Raw genomic sequence first — 21783 nt, 5'->3', positions numbered from 1 at the left:
CGCTTGGCACATTTATTGCTTTTACTTTTTGGCTTGGGCTGACATGATAAGTCCCACAGCCTGGACGGCTTCAACAGCTGGAATGTATTGTCTTAAGGATCTGGGGGCTGGAGGTCCAAGGTGGAGGTGTGGCGGGTTCAGGTTAGTGTCTTGGAGGCCTGTCTCCTTGGCTCATAGGTGACCGTCTTCTCTCTACATGTCTGTGTCCTAATCTCTTATTATAACGGCAACAGTCACGTTGGATTCGGGCCACTATGGCTTCATTTTAACTCATTTGTGTCTTTGAAGGCTCTGTCTCCAAATACAGTTCCGTCCTGAGCTACTGGGGGCTGGGACCTCAGCGTATGGATTCGGAGGGTCACAACTTAGCCCTCACCGTGCAGTTTTGGGGTTTTGGGGTTCTCTTCTCTCAGCCTCAAGCTCCCTCGGCTGTGCCTATGGGTGCGGGACAGGCCCCTCGGAGCCTGGCTCCTCGGTGCCTTGCTGCCTGGTCTTAAGCAGTGAGAGAAGATGCTGGACAGGCTCCCAGGAGGGGTTCGTCTCCTGGCCCTTCACTGAGCCCCTCCCCTCCAGCACTTGTCGCCTGGGAGATCCTGACTGGCCTGTGGTCCTGAGGCAAGTCTCTGTTTTGCAGAAATGGGGCCCCCTCACCACCACCCTGGCCACCGCATGCCTCATCCTGGCATCAACGAGCACCCGCCTTGGGCTGGACCCCAGCACCCTGACTTCGGCCCTCCCCCCCATGGCTTCAACGGGCAGCCCCCACACATGCGGCGACAGGGCCCACCCCACATCAACCACGATGACCCCAGCCTGGTCCCCAATGTGCCCTACTTCGATCTCCCTGCTGGGCTGATGGCCCCCCTCGTGAAGGTAATGCCCCACAGTGGGCTCCAAGCTGAGCACGCTTACCATACTGGTCCCCGTTTCTCCTTGTGAAAAGTGAATGCACGGGACCGGGTGCCTTCCGGGGCTCCCCTTCATCTCCCACTCCCTAGGGACCCTGATCCGTCAGTGGGAGGTGCCGAACCGGAGTAGCACGGTGTGGCTGTGAGCGACACCATGTCTGCCCTGCCCTGCCCCTCCTATCCCTCCCACCACAGGGAGCTTCAGCCATGTGGGGCTAGCTAGGCTATGAGGCTCGAGTCCTCTCTTCGTCCTTCTTGGTCCAGGGCCTCAGAAGCACCTTGTCCCAGGGCTGCTGATGGAGGGAATGTCTTAGAAGGAGCCACCTGTGAGCTGTGCCTACCAAGCACACAGGGAGGGGGGTGGCCCTGGAGAAGCCGGGCAGGGCTGGCAGCAGCTGGTACCACTGTGGGATGGCCGGAGCATAGGGCAAGAGGTGAGGCAAGAAGGGGCCAGGTCTGGCCAGGCGTAGTGGCTCACACCTGTAATCCCAGCACTTTGGGAGGCCGAGGCGGGCGGATCACGAGGTCAGGAGATCGAGACCATCCTGGCTAACACGGTGAAACCCCGTCTCTATTAAAAAATACAAAAAATTAGCCAGGCGTGGTGGCAGACGCCTGTAGTCCCAGCTGCTCGGGAGGCTGAGGCAGGAGAATGGCATGAACCCGGGAGGCGGAGCTTGCACTGAGCCGAGATCACGCCACTACACTCCAGCCTGGGCGAGAGCAGGACTCCGTCTCAAAAAAAAAAAGGGGGGGTTGGGGAGGCCAGGGCCGGGGCTTGGGGCCTCCAAGGGCATGCTGGCCACTGCCACTTCCCACCCCCTCAGACACATCCACCTGAAGTCCAGGCAGACTTCACGGAGCCATGGGCAGCAGGGAGAGCTGCGGGCGGGGGCCCAGGCAAGCCAGGCAGGGCAGGGCCTCAACAGGAGGACAGAGACGGAGCAGAAGAAGGATACAGGCCAGGGGGCTCCAGGGCCGGGGCTGAGGCTGTTCTGAGCGGGGGCCCAGGGTAGGCATTGCAAGCAAAGGGTGACGTGAGGGGCCCGCTGCATGTCTGAATAAACCAGAGGGTGTTCAGGTCACCTGAGTTTGGAGACCATGTCCCCTGTGGGTGATTTTCTGAAGAGAGAACCCTGTGACTGTCATCAGCCTCAGAGCAGCTATGACCCACCATGGTTGGTGTGGCTGAGGTCCTACAAGAGAGTGGGATCCCCAAGAGGGAAGCATGAGGAGCTCTGGTGCCCAGGGTACCCTTGACACTGAACCTGGGCCCTGCCCTGACCCCACTCCTTGCAGACCCTGGGTGGGCCTGAGAGGGCTCTGCCCAGGCATGGTGACAGCTGGGGTTCTCTGCTGCAGCTGGAAGATCACGAGTACAAGCCTTTGGACCCTAAAGACATCCGCCTCCCACCCCCCATGCCGCCCAGCGAGAGGCTGCTGGCTGCAGTGGAGGCCTTCTACAGCCCCCCGTCCCACGACAGGCCCAGGAACAGGTAAGGGGCCCAGGTCAGTGGGGTGGGCGGGAGGCCTCTGTCCCCTCTCCCGGCTCCCTGCAACCACACCTTCTGTCCAGGCTAGAAAATGTGGCTGTCCCTCAGGAGAAACTGCCCTCCCCCCGCCTGAGTGACAAGTGTGTGTCACAGGCACAGCACACACGTGGCCCTCAATGAAGGGCGTTTTAATGGAGACACATCAGAAGAAGTTAGGGAAGGTGTGGCACGGCGGCACGTCTCAAGCAGCCGGCTGCCACAGGGCCCTCAGCCCACCCTTCCCAGTGGTCACCCCTCCTTCCTGTGCTGGGCTGCAGGCCTGTCCACCCATGAGTCAGTGTTCCTGTTTCCCAGTTCCACAGACCATGGGTCCCCACCACCTCAGCGGAACAGCAGGGTGGCAAGGGCGTGGGCACCAGAGGAGCCACTGGGCTGCAGGAGGACAGCCCTGTGGGAACACTGAACCAAGCTCTACTGCGCCCATGCTCGGAGCCCACAGCCACAGGGCCATGTACTCTCCAAGGTTCTGTGGATTAACTCCTGATGACTTTTTCACGACTTCCTTGTGGGTGGGTGTCACGTGGTCACACACGGAATGCCGTGTCTTACAGTGAAGGCTGGGAGCAGAACGGCCTCTATGAGTTCTTCCGAGCAAAAATGCGGGCCCGGCGGAGGAAAGGCCAGGAGAAGAGGAACAGGTAAAAGCGCAGATGTCTGCAGTGGCCGGGGGGCCAGGGTCCACAGCTTGTGATGGGTGGGAGCAGACCCCAGATACACTCATCACGTCCACCCTCACACAGCCTGTGCCTATGGGGCGGTGTTTTCCACAAGGCCTGAATTCACACAGCAGCAGGCTCGGCCACACTATTTAGGAACTTGGTACCGTTGCTGTGGCTATGGCGCCACATCCACAGCCAGAGCCCCTGCATCTGGGGTGGTCTAGGAACCTGAGGGCCAGGGTGGGCTGGGTGCAGCCCATCCACTGGGGCACCTGATCATCAGGCCTCTCCCCACAGCGGACCCTCGAGGTCTCGGAGCAGATCCAAGAGTCGAGGGCGTTCTTCCTCCCGCTCCAACTCAAGATCCTCCAAGTCTTCAGGCTCGTACTCAAGGTCAAGGTCGCGCTCCTGCTCCCGTTCCTACTCCCGCTCCAGATCTAGGTAGGCAGAGGCTGCCTCAGGGCAGTGCCTGAGGCCTCTTCCTGTGGCCTCCCCACGACGCCTGGCTGCTGCTGACCCTTGGGCACCCTTCCCTGCAGAAGTCGGAGCAGGTCGCGCTCCTCCAGAAGCCGCTCCCGGTCCCAGTCGCGGTCCCGGTCCAAGTCGTACTCCCCAGGAAGAAGACGCCGGTCACGGTCCAGGAGCCCCACCCCGCCGTAAGATCCTGTCTTAAGTGCTGCGCTGGTAACTCTGGGAAGCTGCGGTGCTTTGCTGTGAATGTGGAAACATTGGTGGTTAGGAGACTGTGTTAGGAGGCCGCCAGCATTAGCCCGGGGACAGTGGCACCCCTCACCCTTCACCACAGTAGCCACTTGGCGAAGCCTGAGGCAGTAACTGGGGTCTGCTTTCTAACCACCATCTGGGTTGGAGGTGTCCTGCTCTCAATGCTGAGCGTGGGGTGGGGGCCAGCGTCTGGAGCCCCCTTATCTAGCTGAGACAGGATAAACGGGTAGAGACGCAAAATCTGCATACGGTGTCACCTGGTGACAGTGAGCATGCACGCAAGCTGCGGCTGTGAGGTCCTCATCACTGTCATTCCAATAAATGTCTCAGTTACTTCTTAAAAAGAATAACCTGTCTCGATTTTAGTTCCTCTGCTGGTCTGGGTTCTAATTCGGCGCCTCCCATCCCTGACTCAAGGCTCGGAGAAGAGAACAAAGGCCATCAGATGCTGGTGAAGATGGGTAAGGCGAGGGAATGGGGAGGGCGCGGGATGGGTCCTCACGCGTGCTGGGCCCGGGAGTCACCAGCGCTTTCTCTTCCTCAGTGCATGTGGGGATGGATGGAGTCAGGCCGGTTCTGACTCCACCCAGACCCTCTAGACAGGGCCGGCCTGCGGGTTCTCTCTACCCATTTCCCATGTCTACACTGCCTGTCTGGACATTCAGCCCCCCACGTGCACCCCCATCTGCCTCCGCCTTGTTGTGGTTGTGACTGCGTCTCTGTTTCCAGGCTGGAGCGGCTCAGGCGGCCTCGGTGCGAAGGAGCAAGGGATCCAGGACCCCATCAAGGGCGGGGACGTCCGGGATAAGTGGGACCAGTATAAAGGCGTGGGCGTGGCTCTGGATGACCCCTATGAGAACTACCGCAGGAACAAGAGCTACTCCTTCATCGCCCGCATGAAGGCCAGGGACGAGTGTAAGTAGGCGCCCATGCCGGGAGCCGCGCCGGTGGCCAGCGGTGCCGGCTGTGGGACCTTCCTGGCTGACTGGCAGAGGAAGATTGCAGTGACAGCTCAGTTCTTACACCGTCTCCACTTGTGGAGAGCCACAGGAAGAGAAGGAAGACCAGCGCATGCCCAGTGGGAACGCCGTGCTCCATGGCGTGGAGGGCACGGGTGCCACCCACAAACCACACCAGGAGGCGCTGCAGCCACCAGGGCCCCAGGCTCGTTTTCCTTTATAGCGAAGCAAAAAACACAAGACCCTCCGCCCGAGTAAATTCTTCAGCCACGAAGGGATGGATGTGCATCTGCCCTAAGTCAGATTGAAGCCTCCTCCTAGGCTCCAGGAGGAGCATGTGCAGGAAGGGTTGGCCTGAGCCAGAGCCGGCACCCCAGCTCCTTCCTCCAGCTCCCCGCACCCACCGGCCCTGACCTGGCTTCCCCTCGGCTGTGTAGGGACAAAGCCGAAGCCCAGTGCCATGACTGCCCGCGGATTGAAAAACAGAAACACAAAACTTTGACTTGACTTGCGAAGTGAAGCAGGGTTTTCATTTTTACTCTCCTTGGTTTAGGTCTAGAAAGAAGAATACTGACCTGAGAGGAGGCCCAGTGAGATTCTGAAACCTAATTCTTCGAAGGCGTACTGGCCCTTAGTTCAGTTATTTTAGTTGTATAAGTTGATATTTTTTTTCTGGAATGTAGCCATTTGCTGTTATCTGGGAAACAAGATTCTAACAGGAAACCAGCCTAAGACACTTCAGGTTGAGCGCTGCCTCGGAGTCTGTGCCCGTCGCGTCCCCTGCTTGAGTTTTGCACTTGGAAGAACCCTGCACCGGCTGGCGTGTGCGACGGCCCAGTCCCATCCAGAGCATGGAGCCCGACCCCAGCCAGCGCCTTCCACTCCATCATTTCATTTCACACCCCCGAAGGGAGGGGAGGCCAGGAGGGGAGCTGCTCCTGCCAGAAGCTGGTGGGTGACCGTTGGGAATCGGCCACACCTGGTGTCCATGGGCAGCCTGGTGCAATTCCATTCATTTGTACAGAAACATTTTTGAAAAATTCTTTTCAATAAGATGCAAAATCTTCCAACTTTTCAACCCAACGTGATGAATATTTGATTTTGTTCTAGATTTCCTGTAGCTGTGAATTGTTAAAATGTATGATTCAGGATAAAACGTAAACACGTGCTGTTAGTAATTTCTTGTGGATTTCATTGTTTTGCCTTCAAATAAAGCCTTTTTTTAAAGACCTTTCTCCCGCACATGTGTAAGTCAGAAGTGTGCACGGGCTGAGTGAGGAGACACATGTCCTGGTTTGAGCTGTGCAGCCTGGGGTCAGAGGCCGTGTCCAGGGGCTCACATGGCGTCCCCAGCGTGCTGACCTGGTCCCATGTCCTTACCCTCGAGCAGGGCTTCTCCCATCCACCCTGTCTCCCTCTGGCTCACTGGGATGCCAGGACCTGCCTGGGTGGAGCTGCTCTGCAGAGGCTGGTGGCCCCTGTCCTGCTGTGAGTGGGGACAGCTCCACTGAAATTCTATTTCCACTGGCCTGTGGTGTCATAGAGCTGGGCATGCTGCTGGGAGAGCTGTCACTGAGCTGGGATTTGGCTCAGAGGAGTCTGGGGCCCTCACCGCAGCACCACCTGCCCCACCATGGAATGTCACACCTGGATGCTGACTGTGTGTGTGTGTGTCCATCACCCCAGTACCACCTGCCCCCACCACGGAACGTCACACTTGGACACTGATGAGCTCTATGTTTGTGTGCGTGTGTGTGCACTGAGTACACAGGACGGGATACCTTTTGTTAAGACGTCACGTCAAGCTCCACCTGCTGGCGCTCACAGCTCCTTGTTCACCTCCTCCAGGGCATCCTCCATGGTCAGTGGGGCAGGTCTGTGGCACCTAATGTACTGTCAGGCAGAGAACAGACCACGCCATCACCATCGTCACCTCAGTACACTCTGAGACAGGGTGCTGGAGGAGGGAGTGGAGCCAGCACCTGTCCCCAGCAGGCTCCTGTCAGTGACAGAAGTGTAAAACCACAGGATGTGTGTGACAGGTTGGCGCACGGGGCTGTGGGAACACAGGGTAGAGGGTCAGCCCTGCGAGGGGTGAGCCCTGACAGAGAAAGGGAGGGGTGCCTGTGAGTGCCCTTGGAGTGGCTGAGATCAGGGAGAAGCGCCTGGAGCAAGCAGCTGGGAGCTATGGTGGGCTGCAGCCAGGTGGCACAGTCAGATGGCTTCTGCCTGCATCGGATGGGCTGATGGACGCCCAACAGAGGCATGAGTTCAAAGCCCCCAGAGGGCTGCAATGAGCAAAGTTGACATTGTAGAGACCCGTGGGACTCACAACCTGCCCTCTTCAGCAGATAAACCACAAGGAAACGAGAGGCCTGGCATGCAGGGGACTCGGCACAGTTCCAAAGCAGCGTCCCGGGGCATGTGGGAGAAACGCCTAGCTCCAGGCCCACCCCGCCTGCTTGCGGGCCCAGCATCGCTTTCACAGGGCTTCCAGGGGATCCCCAACCGCTCAGCATTGAGAACCGGTCGCTGCTCTAGATTAAGAGGCTCAAAGGACATATCGGATAGTATGGACTTTGGATCCGAATTACCAAATCGGAACAAAACACACAACTTTAAATCAGACAAGCAGAAATCTCAACACTGGATATTCCTTGATACTTAGTAAATTTGGTTTGTGTATTATTGCATTATGGTTGTTTGTTTGAGACAGAGTCCCGCTTTCTCCCTCACTACAGCCTCAACCTCCCCAGCTCAAGTGATCCTCCCACCTCAGCCTCCCAGAGAGCTGGGACTACGGGCACACACCACTATGCTAAACTTAAACTAGTTTTCTTGTATTTTTTAATAGAGATGGAGTCTTGCTATGTTGCCCAGGCTGGTCATGAACTCCTGGGCTCAAGCGACCCACCCTGCCTCAGCTTCCCAAAGTGCTGGGATTACAGGAATGAACCACCACACCTGGCTTTAACATCACTTTTTAGAAATAAACACTGAAAAATTTGTTATGTAAAATGTTTAAAGCAGGGGGCGGTGGCTCACGCCTATAATCCCAGCACTTTGGGAGGCCGAGGCAGGTGGATCACCTGTGGTCGGGAGTTCAAGACCAGCCTGACCAACATGGAGAAACCCTGTCTCTACTAAAGATATGAAAAATTAGCTGGGCATGGTGGTTCGCACCTGTAATCACAGCTACTCAGGAAGGTGAGGTAAGAGAATCACTTGAACCCAGGAGGCGGAGGTTGCAGTGAGCTGAGATTGCACCATTGCACCCCAGCCTGGGCAACAAGAGTGAAACTCAGTCTCAAAAGAAAAAAAAAAGTTTATGAATAGATCACCATAAAGGACTGCATATAGTATAATGCCATTTCTATAAAGAAATACGTGGCCAGGCATGGTGGCTCGCACCTGTAATCCCAAAAATTAGCTGGGCATGGTGGCAGGCACCTGTAATCCCAGCTACTTGAGAGGCTGAGGTAGAAGAATCGCTTGATCCCAGGAAGCGAAGGCTGCAGTGAGCTGAGATCACACCACTGCATTCCAGCCTGGGCAACAAGAGCAAAACTCCGTCAAAAAAAAATTTTAAAAAAAAGAAATACGCATACTATGGTTCATACAAGAGTCTGAAGGAGTATATATATCAGCTTGGTAATAGTTACCTCTGAAATTAAGGAGAACTTGCAGGTTACACATCTCTGCAACAAGATTTTCAGAAAACAGCCACGTAATTTTTGGTAATCAGATTTTAAAAAGTTTTTTTGAGACGGAGTCTTGCTCGTCACCCGAGCTGGAGTGCAGTGGCACGATCTCAGCTCACTACAACCTCCACCTCCCAGGTTCAAGCGACTCTCCTGCCTCAGCCTCCTGAGTAGCTGGGACTACAGGCGCCCGTCACCATCCTGGCTAATTTTTGTATTTTTAGTAGAGATGGGGCTTCACCACGTTGGCCGGGCTGGTCTCAAACGCCTGACCTCAAGTGATCCACCCATCACAGCCTCCCAAAGCACCAGGTGTGAGCCACGGCACCTGGCTGGTAATCAGATAAAAATTCTTAGAGGGTAAAAAAAGAGGTGAGGGTGATTGCTGAGGAGAACAGCTGGGCCGCCTCTGGCCCCATCTCGGGGATGTCTCAGGAGGCTCAGGGAAAGGGACAGGACCCCTCCCATGGGAGAAAACAGTGCCACGAACAGTAGGTCCCTTTAGTCTGAGGTCACACAGCCCAGGCGGGGCTGGCTGCAAGGTGCAGGAGCTCAGCACCCCACCCTGTACCAGCTTTTGCCACAGGGTGGCAGGAAATGAGGCTCCCTCCACAGGGACAGGTGATGGCCCCACTGCATCCCTGCAGCCCTGGGCTGAGCGCTGGAGCCCAGGCCCCGGCCCATATCCCTTCGGCCCGGCCTCTGGGAGCTGCCGCTCCCCTACTGCCCTGCCCCTGCCCATGGGGAGCTGCGCTCACCTCTTTGGCTTCCTCCAGGGTGTGGTAGTGGAAGGAGTCCGCGTCCAGGGAGCGCAGGAGGGAGGCGTGCAGGTGCCGGCTGGCCTGGATGAACTGCTGCGTCAGGCTCAGCTGCTGCTTCAGCACATCATGGAGTGCCAGCACGGCCGGGCTGTAAGCGGTCAGGGCTGACCCAGCTCCGCGTTACTCGGTGGCTTCGCTGGGGCCCCACAAATTCTGCAGCCCCCCCCCCACCGCTCAGGTGCCAGGCTGCTCTCTGAAATCTTTTTTTTTTTTTCTGGAGACAGGGTCTCGCTCTGCCACCCAGGCTGGAGTACAGCGGTGCCATCACAGCGCACTGCAGCCTCGAACTCCTGGGTTTAAGCAACAGTGGCTCACACCTGTAATCCTAGCACTTTGGAAGGCTGAGGCAGGCGGATCACAAGATCAGGAGTTCGAGATCAGGAGTTTGAGACCAGCCTGGCCAACATAGTGAAACCCCATCTCTACTAAAAAAACAAAAAAAAAAATTAGCCAGGTGTAGTGGCAGACACCTGTAGTCCCAGCTACTTGGGAGGCTGAGGCAGGAGAATCGCTTGAACCTGGGAGGCAGATGTTGCAGTGAGCCAAGATCACACCACTGCACTCCAGCCTGGGTGACAGGGCAAGACTCCGTCTCAAAAAAAAAAAATTAAAAAATTGAAAAGGGAAAAAAATAGTAGGTACCAGATGGACCCCTACGTGTATCACAAGCCTTTATTGGCTCCACTGGACTCGACAAAGACTAAACTCTCTAAGATGGCTGCTGGGGCCCCTCCCTCATGCCTCAGGCTGGACTGGAGCCTTTGTGAGGGCCACACAGACTCAGCCCAGGAGGCAAGGGAATGTCTACCCAGGCTGTGCAACTCAGCATCAGTCAAATACATGTCTTCAGGGGAAATAAACTATGGCTTATTGATGTAATGCCACCAAGGGGAACATACAAAACAAAAGTGGTCTTGTGCCAGGCAGGGCGGCTCAGGCCTGTGATCCCAGAACTTTGGGAGACCGAGGTGGGCAGATCATTTGAGGTCAGGAGTTCGAGACCAGCCTGGCCAACATGGAGAAACCCTGTCTGTACTAAAAATACAAAAATTAGCCGGGCGTGGTGGCAGGTGCCTGTAATCCCAGCTACTCGGGAGGCTGAGGCAGGAGAATCGCTTGAACCCAGGAGGCAGAGGTCCCAGTGAGTGGAGATCGCGCCACTGCACTCCAGCCCGGGCAACAGAGCGAGACTGTCTCAAAACGAACAAACAAAAAAAGTGGCCTTGTTGGGGTGCAGGGCACAGAAGCATCACTCTTCACCCTCTTGTTTTGTGTGACATTGGTGTCTCTTTGCAAGAGACAGAAGGTTCAAGGGCATCCACACCTTTTCTCTCCTCATGGCAGGTGCCTGTGGCTGCAATAATCCCTGCCCAATGGACCCCTGGAAGCCAGCATGCAAGGGGTGCCACACCTCCAGAGTGGGTGTGAATCTGCAGGTGAAATGAGTCCTGTAAAATGTGACAGGAAGGATCCCCCGAGCCGGGCTGTTACCTTCTATTGCATCTGCACTGATAACATGATTGGCGATGGGTGTCGGGTCCACGTAGGCGCCTCCCAGGGCAGGCCCCATGGCTGCCATGCTGGCCACTATCTCGGGGACAAAGAGAGGGGTAAGCAGGCAGGACGCAGAGAAATGACTTTCGGGTCCACAGATACGACCCTGGAATAAACTACGTGACCTTGTTCTTCCCTCTTTCTGAAGGTGATCGCCACTCTTGCATTTTTTTTTTTTTTTTTTGGTTTGAGACAGGGTCTTGCTCTATTGCCCAGTCTGGAGTGCACGGCATGATCACAGCTCACTACAGCCTCCTGGGCTCACGTAATCCTCCCATCTGTCTCCCAAGTAGCTGGGACTACAGGTGCGCCACCACGCCTGGCTAATTTTTAAAATTTTTTGTAGAGACAGGGTCTCCCTATGTTGCCCAGGCTGGTCTTGAACTCCTAGGCTCAAGCAATCCTCCTGCCTCAGCCTCTGAAAGTGCTGAGGTGTAAGCCACCGCACCCGGCCCTTCTTTACTTTTTTTTACCCTCTTCCCCTTTCAAGTATTTCCCAAGGCTGCCTCCATTTTTCTGCTAGGTTTTCTTGGCTCAAGGCACGGGTATCCTAGCTGGGTGCAGCGGTGGCTCCGGCTCACGGTGGCTGCAGTCGAGAGCAGTGGAGGATGTGCTTTCCCAGCCCTTCTTCTAAGGGTCACTGTTGACCTCAGGATGTTGCGTGTTCTCTGGGCTCTGAGGCCAGCGTGTTTATGGCTGCTGTTTTTTCTTTCTCCTTTCCCTGTCAGTCCTAGTCTAGGAAAACAGCCTCGCCAGTGTTTCATGAAAGCATCCCTAAATTGCCAAAAATATGGACAGAAGTGCAGAGAGACACAAACAATTCTGAGCCCAGATCCCAGGTTGAAAATACCATTTAACACCTCCAAGGTGATTTGACTCAGTCCATGTGATTGACTTTCCCTCCTGAGAAACAGACACCACTCACCCTCTCCTGGGGGGCCCGTCAGGCTGATGTTAGGTTAAGCCCCCAAATCAAAACAAATAGATCCAGTGAGAATTACATTGCCTTTTTTTTTTTTTTTTTTTTTTTTTGAGACAGAGTCTCACTCTGTCGCCCAGGCTGGGGTGCTATGGCACGATCTCAGCTCACTGCAACCTCCACCTTCTGGTTTCAAGCGATTCTTGTGCCTCGGCCTCCCGAGTAGCTAGGACTACAGATGCGTGCCACCACACCAGGCTAATTTTTGTATTTTTAGTAGAGACGGGGTTTCACCATATTGGCCAGGCTGGGAACTACATCATTTTTCACATCCAGTCTACCTTGTCAAGAGCCATATGGATGAGAAAAGAGATATTAAAAGGGAATGTTTATTAGCCAGGCGCCTCTAGTCCCAGCTATTGGGGAGGCTGAGGTGGGAGAATCGCTGAAACCCAGGAGGTGGAGGAGGCAGTGGGCCGAGATTGTGCCACCGCACTCCAGCCTGGGCAACAGAGCGAGACCCCATCTCATAAAATAAAATTATATAAAATAAAATAATAACATGGGAATGTTTAAAAGAATGGGGCCTTTCCACCAGCAAGAGCCGAGACTGAAGCTGGGAATGAGAGAAATGCCCGAAGGCCAGGCATGGTGGCTCATGCCTGTAGTCCCAGCACCTTGGGGGGCCAACATGAGCAGGTGGAAGGATCACTTGAGCCCAGGAGTTCAAGACCAGGCTGGGGAACATAGGGAGACCCTGTCTCTACAAAGAACATTTTAAAATTATACAGGGGGCCAGGTGCGGTGGCTCACACCTATAATCCCAGCACTTTGAGAGGCCGAGGCAGGCAGATCACGAGGTCAGGAATTTGAGACCAGCCTGGCCAGCATGGTGAAACCCCATCTCTACTAAAAATACAAAAATTATCTGGGCGTGGTGGCACATACCTGTAATCCCAGCTATTCAGGAGGCTGAGGCAGGAGAATCGCTTGAACCCAGGAGGTGGAGGTTGCAGTAAGCCAAGATCGCACCACTACACTCCAGCCTGGGCAAGAGAGTGAGACTCCATCTCAAAAAAAAAAAAGATACAGGGCCGGGTGCAGTGGCTCACGCCTGTAATCCCAACACTTTGGGAGGCTAAGGCTGACAGATTGCTTGAGCCCACGAGTTTGAGACCAGGCTGGGCAATATGGCAAGACCCTGTCTCTACAAAAAATATAAAAATTAGCCAGGCATGGGGGCGCATGCTTGTAATCCTACTACTCAGGAGGCTGAGGTAGGAGGATCACCTGAGCCTAGGGAGGTTGAGGCTGCAGTGAGCTATGATTGGGTCACTGTACTCCAGCTTGGGCAACATAGCAAGACCCCATCTCTAAAAACAGAGTGAGAGAGAGAGAGAGAAATATCTGGAAAGTCACCCAGGGTGTTCATTCTCCAGGACAAAGGCATCCTGTGCACTGCGGGGTGTGGAATAGCACCCCTGGCCTCCACCCAGCAGATGCCGATAGCATTCCCCACCCTGAGTTGTGACAACTAATAATGTCTCCAGACCTTGCTGGAGTCCCCCCGTGAATCATCCTGTGGGAGGTGCTACCCTAGTCCTTGGTTCTGATCCTTCTGAATGCTTCAGGGCTAGGAAGACATCGGGACACACGAGGGCGGCTGTCCCTCGTCCATGGAAGAGGAAATGGTGAGCCAAGGTCCCTAGGTGACTTTTATTTTTTTTGAGACAGAGTCTCATTCTGTCACCCAGGCTGGAGTGCAGGGGCATCATCTCAGCTCACTGCAACCTCCACCTCCCGGGTTCTTCTCAAGCCTCAGCTTCCTGAGTAGCTGGGATTACAGGAACACACCACCACAGCCAGCTAATTTTTGTATTTTTAGTAGAGATGAGGGTTCCCTGTGTTGGCCAGACTGGTCTTGAACTCCTGACCTCAAGTGATCCTCCCGCCTCGGCCTCCCAAAGTGCTGGGATTACAGGCGTGAGCCACCTTGCTTGGCCAACCCCTCCAGGTGATTAATAACAAGAGCCCAAATCTCAGGAACCTGAGCTCTCCCACGTGTCTCCCAGGATGCTGTAAACCACACGCTGAGCTCCTGTCCCGGCTGCCCCGGCCCCCACGGGCCCCAAGGCTTACCCTTGGTCCACTCGTAGGTGAAGGCAGGATCTGGCGTCTGCACAGCTGTGTCCTTCACAAGCACTCTTGTCACGTGCCTGCCCGACTTTTTCCTAGACTCGGCTGTTTGTGGAAGGTCTGTCTTCACACTTGAAGAGGATTCAGACAAAGCGTCCAGTGTTCTGTCAAGAGACTCCTTGGAATGGGCGGTTGGCTCAGATGCTGTCAGACTTGGAGAGTTTTCAAAATCCTCCGAATAAGCTGAGCTGACTGTGTTCACCATGGGGGCTTCAGATGGTGGCTGCATGCTGGAAGTGCTGTCCTGCTGGATGGCAGAAGCCGAGCTGGCACTGAGATGCTCCGAGACCTCGCTCTCATCCCCCTCTGCAGAGGCGGCCTTTCCCTGTGATGCCCAGCTCCTCGCCTGGGCCTGCCTCGGGGCATCCTGCCCAGTGGACGCCTCGGCTCTGAAGATTTTGCCAGCTGTTTTTTGTCTCTGAGCACTTTCCTCCTAAAATGAAGAATGGCAGAGGTGGCTGGGAAGTGTTTTGGAAATATCAACATGCTAGGAACACTGCACTCCTAGGAGCTGGGGACCTGCAGCACTCCCGCAGACAAGGGGACACACCAGGTCCTCATTAGATGTGGGCACGGAGTATTCTAAACAGAACTGTGGCGTCTTCAGTACGGCATGTCCACGGGGCTGCAGGAATCCTGATGGTGTGACGCATGCTTAGGTGGCACGTGGATGGCATTTAACATTTCATCATGGACTTAAGGACTTTAGGTGGTTGAGGCGGTAGGATCCTTTGAGCTCAGGAGTTCAAGACCTGCCTGGGCAACACAGCAAGACCCTACCTCTATAAGAAAAAAAAAATTAAAAAATTTTCAGCCGGGCACAGTGGCTCATGCCTATAATCCCAGCACTTTGGGAGGCCAAGGCGGGCAGATCACCTGAGGTTGGGAGTTTGAAACCAGCCTGACCAACATGGAGAAACCCCGTCTCTACCAAAAATACAAAATTAGCCAGACATGGTGGCACGTATCTGTAATCCCAGCTACTCAGCAGGCTAAGGCAGGAGAATCACTTGAACCCAGGAGGCAGAGGTTATGGTGAGCTGAGATCACACCATTGCACTCCGGCCTGGGCAACAAGAGCAAAACTCTGTCTCAAAAAAAAAACATTTCATCATGGACTGATGAAATGTTAGGTGGCTGAGGCGGCAGGATCCTTTGAGCTCAGGAGTTCAAGACCTGCCTGGGAGACATAGCAAGACCCTACCTCTGTAAGAAAAAAAATATTTTAAAAATTAAGTTTCATCATGCCTGGGGGCAATGGCTCACACCTGTAATCTCGGCACTTTGAAAGGCCGAGGCAGGAGGATTGCTTGAAGCTGGGAGTTCAAGACCAGCCTGGACAACCCAGCCGGTCCATATCTCTACAAAAAAATAAAAAATTAGCCAGGCATGGGTGCACGCTTGTAGTCTCAGCTACTCAGGAGGCTGGGCAGGATTGCTTGAGCCTAGGACATCGAGGATGAAGTGAGCCATGATCCCCCAACTGCATTCCAGCCTGAGTGAGACCTGTCTCAAAAATAAATAAATTGGGCCAGGCATGGTGGCGCATGCCTGTAATCCCAGCACTTTGAGAGGCCAAGGTGGGTGAATCACCTGAGGTCAGGAGTTGGAGACCAGCCTGGCCAACATGGTGAAACTATCTCTACTAAAAATACAAAAATTAGTGGGGTAGGGTGGCGGGTGCCTGTAATCCCAGCTACTCAGGAGGCTGAGGCACAAGAATTGCTTGAAACCAGGAGGTGGAGGTTGCAGTGAGCTGAGATTGTGCCACTGTAGTCCCAGCCTGGGCGACAGAGCGAGACTGTGTCTCAAAAAAATAATAATTAAGGCCGGGCGTGGTGGCTCACGCCTGTAATCCCAGCACTCTGGGAGGCCGAGGCGGGCGGATCACGAGGTCAGGAGATCGAGACTATCCTGGCTAACACGGTGAAACCCCATCTCTACTAAAAATACAAAAAAAATTATCCGGGCCTGGTGGTGGGCGCCTATAGTCCCAGCTGCTCGGGAGGCTGAGGCAGGAGAATGGTGTGAACCCAGGAGGCGGAGCTTGCAGTGAGCTGAGATCACACCACTGCACTCCAGCCTGGGCAGCAGAGCGAGACTCTGTCTCAAAATAATAATAATAATAATAATAATAATAGGCCAGGCGCAGTGGCTCATGCCTGTAATCCCAGCACTTTGGGGGGCCAAGGCAGGTGGATCACTTGCAGTCAGGAGTTCGAAACCAGCCTGGCCAACATGGTGAAACCCCGTCTCTACTAAAATATACAAAAATTAGCTGGGCATGGTGGCAGGGGACTTAATCCCAGCTACTTGGGAGGCAGAGGCAGGAGAATCGTTTGAACCCGGGAGGTGGAGGTTGCAGTGAGCCGAGATCGAGCCATTGCACTCAAACCTGGGGGATAAGAACAAGACTTCTCTCAAAAAAAAAAAAAAAGTTTAAAATAAAAAATAATAATAATAATAAAATAAAAACAATAAATATTTTAAAATAAAAATAAAATGTCATCACTGTGTATAACCAACACGTGTATCTGACAGTGCCGGTGGCCACCAGGACAAAAATCACAACAGGGAGTGTGACTGGATACGGCTGGTGAAGTGTTGCCTCCGTGCAGATGTTGTCATGGGCGGCTTTACGTGGGATGTGCTTTAATCACCAGCTAACCAAGGTAGCTTCATCCTGTTAGCACCTAAATCAGGGTCTCTCACCTACTGCACTCTTGACATCAGAGGCCACAACATTCTTGGCAGCTGGGGGCCACCCGGTGCATTACACAATATGGAGCAGTGTTCCTGGCCTCCACCCACTCACAATGCCAGTGGCATCTGTCACCCACCCCCTAGTCATGACAGCCAAAATGTCACCAGACATTGCCAATGTCCCCTGGGGGGCAGATTTGAAAACTATAGGCCTAAATGAAACATTACTTGCTTTTCCACATAAGAATCGACATTGGGCCAGGCATGGTCGCTCACACCTGTAATCCCAGCACTTTGGGAGGCTGAATCGGGAGGATTGCTTGAGCCCAGTTTGAGGACGGCCTGGGCAACATAGTGAGACCCTGCCTCAATTTTTAAATTTTTTAAAAATTTAAAAAAAAAAATGTTGAAGCCAAAAACAATCGACCATGAAAAATGACTTTGTTGTACTTACTTCCTGTTCCAAATCGGAGTTCTCACTGACAGCTGGAGCCAGACCGTCAAGCGATAAAATATTTATTCTAAACTCTGTAATTAAAAAATGAGTATAAGCGTTTACATTTACTCTCTTATTTACTCCATAAATTTTTACAAACCTTCCAAATTTCTTTTTTCTTTTCTTTTCTTTTTTTTTTTGAGATAGAGTCTCACTCTGTCACCCAGGCTGGAGTGCAGTGGCACGATCTTGGCTCACCACAACTTCTGCCTCCCAAGTTCAAGTGATTCTCTCACCTCAGCCTCCTGAGTAGCTGGGATTACAGGTGCCTGACACCTCGCCCGGCTAATTTTTCTATTTTTAGTACAGACAAGATTTCACCATTTGGCCAGGCTGGTCTTGAATTCCTGGCCTCAAGTGATTCACCTGCCTCGGCCTCCCAAAGTGCTGGGTTTACAGGTGTGAGCCACCGCAGCCAGCCTAATCTCCCACAAATGTTTAGAAAGATATGAAGACATGGCCAGGCGCGGTGACTCACGCCTGTAATCCCAACACTTTGGGAGGCCGAGGCGGGCAGATCACAAGGTCAGGAGATCGAGACCATCCTGGCTAACACAATGAAACCCTGTCTCTACTAAAAATACAAAAAATTAGCCAGGCGTGGTGGCGGGTGCCTGTAGTCCCAGCTACTCAGGAGGCTGAGGCCGGAGAATCTCTTGAGACCAGTTCAAAGCTGCAGTGAACTATGATCACACCACTGCACTCCAGCCTGGAGCATAGAGAGACCCTGTCTCTAAAAAATAATAATAATCATCGGGCATGGTGGCTCACGCCTGTAATCCCAGCACTTTGGGAGGCCGAGATGGGCAGATCAACTGAGGCCAGGAGTTCAACACCAGCCTGGTCAACATGGTGAAACCCGATCTCTATTAAAAATACAAAAATTAGCCAAGTGTGATGGCACGTGCCTGTAGTCCCAGCCACTCAGGAGGCTGAGGCAGGAAAATCGCTTGAACCCGGAGTTGGAGGTTGCAGTGAGCCAAGATCATGCCACTGCACTCCAGCCCGGGTGACAGAGCAAGGCTCCGTCTCAAAAATAATTATCATAACAAATAATGATAATAATAATGATAAAAAATAAAAGGCTAGCTGGGAAATTTCCAGCTTTTGGGGACAGACTGACTCAGCTCCAATGTCATAGTGTGAAAGCAGCCATAGACAATGTGTAAAGGAAGGAGCGTGGCTGCCTTCTGAGAAAGCTTTATAAAGACAGAAGACAGGCTTGGTGCAGTGGCTCATGCCTGTAATCCCAGCACTTTGGGAGGCCGAGGCAGGTGGATCACCTCAGGTCAGGAGTCGAAGACCAGCCTGGCCAACATGTTGAAATCCCGTCTCTACTAAAAATAGAAAAATTAGCTGGGCGTGGTGGCAAGAGCCTGTAATCCCAGCTACTCGAGAGGCTGAGGCAGAAGAATTGCTTGAATCTCGGAGGCGGAAGTTGCAGTGAGCCAAGATCACGCCATTGCACTCCAGCCTGGGCAACAAGGGCAAAACTCTGTCAAAAAAAAAACAGACAGAAGACAGGGCCGGGCACAGTGGCTCATGCCTGTAATCCCAGCACTTTGGGAGGCTGAGGAGAACAGATCACAAGGTCAGGAGTTCAAGACCAGCCTGACCACCAGGTACGGTGGCTCACGCCTGTAATCCTAGCACTTTGGGAGGCGGAGGCAGGCGGATCACAAGGTCAAGAGATCGAGACCATCCTGGCCAACATGGTGAAACCCTGTCTCTATTAAAAGTATAAAAATTAGCTGGGCGTGGTGGTGGGCACCTGTAGTCCCAGCTACTTGGGAGGCTGAGGCAGGAGAATCGCTTGAACCCAGGAGGCGGAGGTTACAGTGAGCCGAGATCACGCCATTGCACTCCAGCCTGGGTGACAGAGCGAGATGTCATCTCAAAAAAAAAAAAAGACCAGCCTCACCAACATGGTGAAACCCCGTCCCGTCTCCACTAAAAATACAAAAAATTAGCCAGGCATGGTGGCGTGCGCCTATAGTCCCAGCTACTTGGGAAGCTGAGACAGGAGCATCACTTGAACCTGGGAGGCAGAGATTACAGTGAGCTGAGATCACGCCACTGCACCCCAGCCTGGGCAACATCTCAAAAAAACAAACAAACAAAAAAAAAAACAGACAGAAGACAGGCCTGCTAGCCCCTGGTCTAGACAGATTAGCAGCTGATCAGAGTGTACTGTTGGAAGTTGCTGAGAAGTACGTGTGTGGTGTAAGGGGTGGGAGGTGGCAGGGCAGCCAGCCAGCTGGGGGGAAAGAGTGGGAAGACTGTGGAGCAGGGGCAGACCTGAGACATGGCCCCAAAGCATCCTATGTTGTCATTTACAGCAAGTTAATAGACTGTGAGTTCTGAAAAAAAGAGTTCTAAAAAACAAAAAAATAGTACAGCAAGTCAAAGGCACCACAGAACCTTAGGGTGGAGGCCAGTGCCTGAACCAAGTGTGTGCCGGGACCCAGGAGTGTGGGGTTCTCTGTGGAGATTCTGGTGCCCCAACAGGTTTTTGGGTTTAAAAAAATTTTTTTTTAGAGATGGAGTCTTGCTCTGTCACCCAGGCTGGAGTGCAGTGGTGTGTTCATAGCTCACCGCAGCCTCCAATTCCCAGGCAGGCTCCAATTCTCAGGCTCAAACGATCCTCCTGCCTCAGCCTCCCCAGCAGCTGGGACTACAGGTGCGCACAACCACACCCAGTTAATTTTTGTATTTTTTGTAAAAACAGGGTTTCACCATGTTGCCAGGCTGGTCTCAAACTCCTCCTGCCTAGGCTTTCCAAAGCACTGGGATTGCAGGCGTGAGCCACCAGGCCTAGCCTCCAACAGCTTCCAACAGGTTTAAATTGACTCAAGAGATGAGTTGGTAAGCCAGGTGTAGTGGCTCACACTTGTAATCCCAGCACTTTGGGAGGCCAAGGCAGGCAGATCACCTAAGGCCAGGAACTCAAGATCAGCCTGGACAACATGGTGAAACCTGGTCTCCACAAAGAGTACAAAAATTAGCCCGGTGTGGTGGCACACGCTTGTGGTCCCAGCTGGTCAGGAGGCTGAGGCAGGCGGATTGCTTGAGCCTGGGAGGTTGAGGCTGTAGTGAACCCTGATCATGCCCACTACACTCCAGCCTGAGCGACAGAGCAAGACCCTGTCTCAGAATTAAATAAATAAATAAAGATAGCACAAAAATCGGACTTGGCCCCTCAACCAGACAAGAAAGTTAGAAAGCTGAGTGTGAGATGCGACTCAAAACTCCCTGCCTGTGGCAATGCCCCATGACCACTGCGTCAGGGACTCTAAAGGTGGCCCCACCCTTCCTGCCCAAGGTACTGGCTTTGCACCGGGACTGGGATTACCGTCGAGGCTGTCATCAGCACCTTCTGAGACTGGCTCGTCCACAGTCTCAGCCTCACTCCTTCCCGGGGAGGACACAAGCTTGACATGCCCCATCTTTAAAGACACTGAGTTTGAAAAGGCGCCTGTGATGGAAACTGACGGCGTGTGGGAGGCGGTGTCACTGGAAACGTGACTCTGTGGGTAGTCTGCTCTTGAGCGAGTGCTGTGAAGGGTTCTGTCTGCTGCCAGGGAGGTTGGCAGGTGTGATGTCTGAGAAGGCTTTGCGCTGGAGAGTTCCACGCTGGGTACAGTAAATGCTCTCAGTTGAGATGGGACCTGATATAAAACACTTGAAATTAACAAACTTATGACAACTAAGGTTTTTTGTTTTTTTGTTTTTTGTTTTTTTTTTTTGAGAAAGGGTCTCACTCTGTTGCCTAGGCTGGAGGGCAGTGGCTCAATAGCTCACTGTAGCCTCGACATCCTGGGCTCAAGCAATCCTCTCACCTCAGCCTCCCAAGCAGCTAGGACTACAAGTATGTGCCACCACACCTGGCTAATTTTTTTTTTTTTTTTGTAGGAATGGGTTTTGCCATGTTGCCCAGACTGGCCTTGACCACAGCTGAAGCAATCTACCCACCTAAGCTTTCCAAAACCCTGGGATTACAGGTGTGAGCCACCATACCTGGCTGATACCTAAAAGTTCTTATGGTTAAACAGACAGTGCAATTAGCGGGGAGCATGAGACCAAGACCACAGGTATCACATTTTTCTCTTACTGCATCCCCTTTCTCTCTTCATTTCTGAAAGTCACAGTACAATATTTAGGTAAGATAATGTTGGGAGTAGAAAATAATTCCACAAGGCTGGGCGTGGTGGCTCACGCCTGTAAATCCCGGCACTTTGGGAGGCCGAGGCGGGCAGATCATGAGGTCAAGCGATCGAGACCATCACGGCCAACAGGATGAAACCCCATCTCTACTAAAAATACAAAAATTAGCTGGGCGTGGTGGTATGCTCCTGTAATCCCAGCTACTCGGGAGGCTGAGGCAAAAGAATTGCTTGAACCCAGGAGGCAGAAGTTGCAGTGAGCCGAGATCAGGCCACTGCACTCCAGCCTGGTGACAGAATGAGACTCCATCTCAAAAAAAAAAAAAAAAAAAAGGAAAGAAAGAAAATATTCCACAAATAGGCCACGCACACTGGCTCACACCTGTAATCCCAGCACTTTGGGAGGCTGAGGTAGGCAAATCACCTGA

The 21783-nt window shown here is 53.4% G+C and overlaps 2 protein-coding genes across 7 annotated transcripts in view; one reads left to right on the top strand and one right to left on the bottom strand.

Annotated features, from left to right (window-relative positions):
- The window catches only part of CHERP (calcium homeostasis endoplasmic reticulum protein), a 24544-nt gene extending 18513 nt beyond the window's left edge, over positions 1–6031 (top strand). The window contains exons 11-17 of the mRNA NM_006387.6: positions 635–873; positions 2271–2404; positions 3013–3099; positions 3418–3561; positions 3660–3776; positions 4210–4304; positions 4573–6031. Of these exons, the coding sequence (NP_006378.3) occupies positions 635–873; positions 2271–2404; positions 3013–3099; positions 3418–3561; positions 3660–3776; positions 4210–4304; positions 4573–4766 (1010 nt within the window). The 3' untranslated portion in view covers positions 4767–6031. The remainder of the gene's footprint in view (positions 1–634; positions 874–2270; positions 2405–3012; positions 3100–3417; positions 3562–3659; positions 3777–4209; positions 4305–4572) is intronic.
- C19orf44 (chromosome 19 open reading frame 44) overlaps positions 2573–21783 on the bottom strand; it is a 24959-nt gene continuing 5748 nt past the window's right edge. Inside the window, exons 3-9 of one of the 6 annotated variants that reach the window (NM_032207.4) lie at positions 20545–20860; positions 17151–17224; positions 13937–14426; positions 10816–10911; positions 9262–9428; positions 6584–6695; positions 2573–3831 (exon numbers count right to left, since the gene is read on the bottom strand). In NM_032207.4, coding sequence (NP_115583.1) covers positions 6624–6695; positions 9262–9428; positions 10816–10911; positions 13937–14426; positions 17151–17224; positions 20545–20860 — 1215 coding nt within the window. In that variant the 3' untranslated portion in view covers positions 2573–3831; positions 6584–6623. The other 5 variants (XM_011528354.4, XM_006722920.5, NM_001288834.2 and 2 more) reach the window with 5 other exon arrangements.

This window comes from Homo sapiens, chromosome 19, assembly GCF_000001405.40.
Source record: "Homo sapiens chromosome 19, GRCh38.p14 Primary Assembly".
Lineage (NCBI taxonomy): Eukaryota > Metazoa > Chordata > Mammalia > Primates > Hominidae > Homo > Homo sapiens.
The sequence above is the reverse complement of the archived record's forward strand: the minus strand, read 5'-3'. Positions and strand labels throughout refer to the sequence as shown.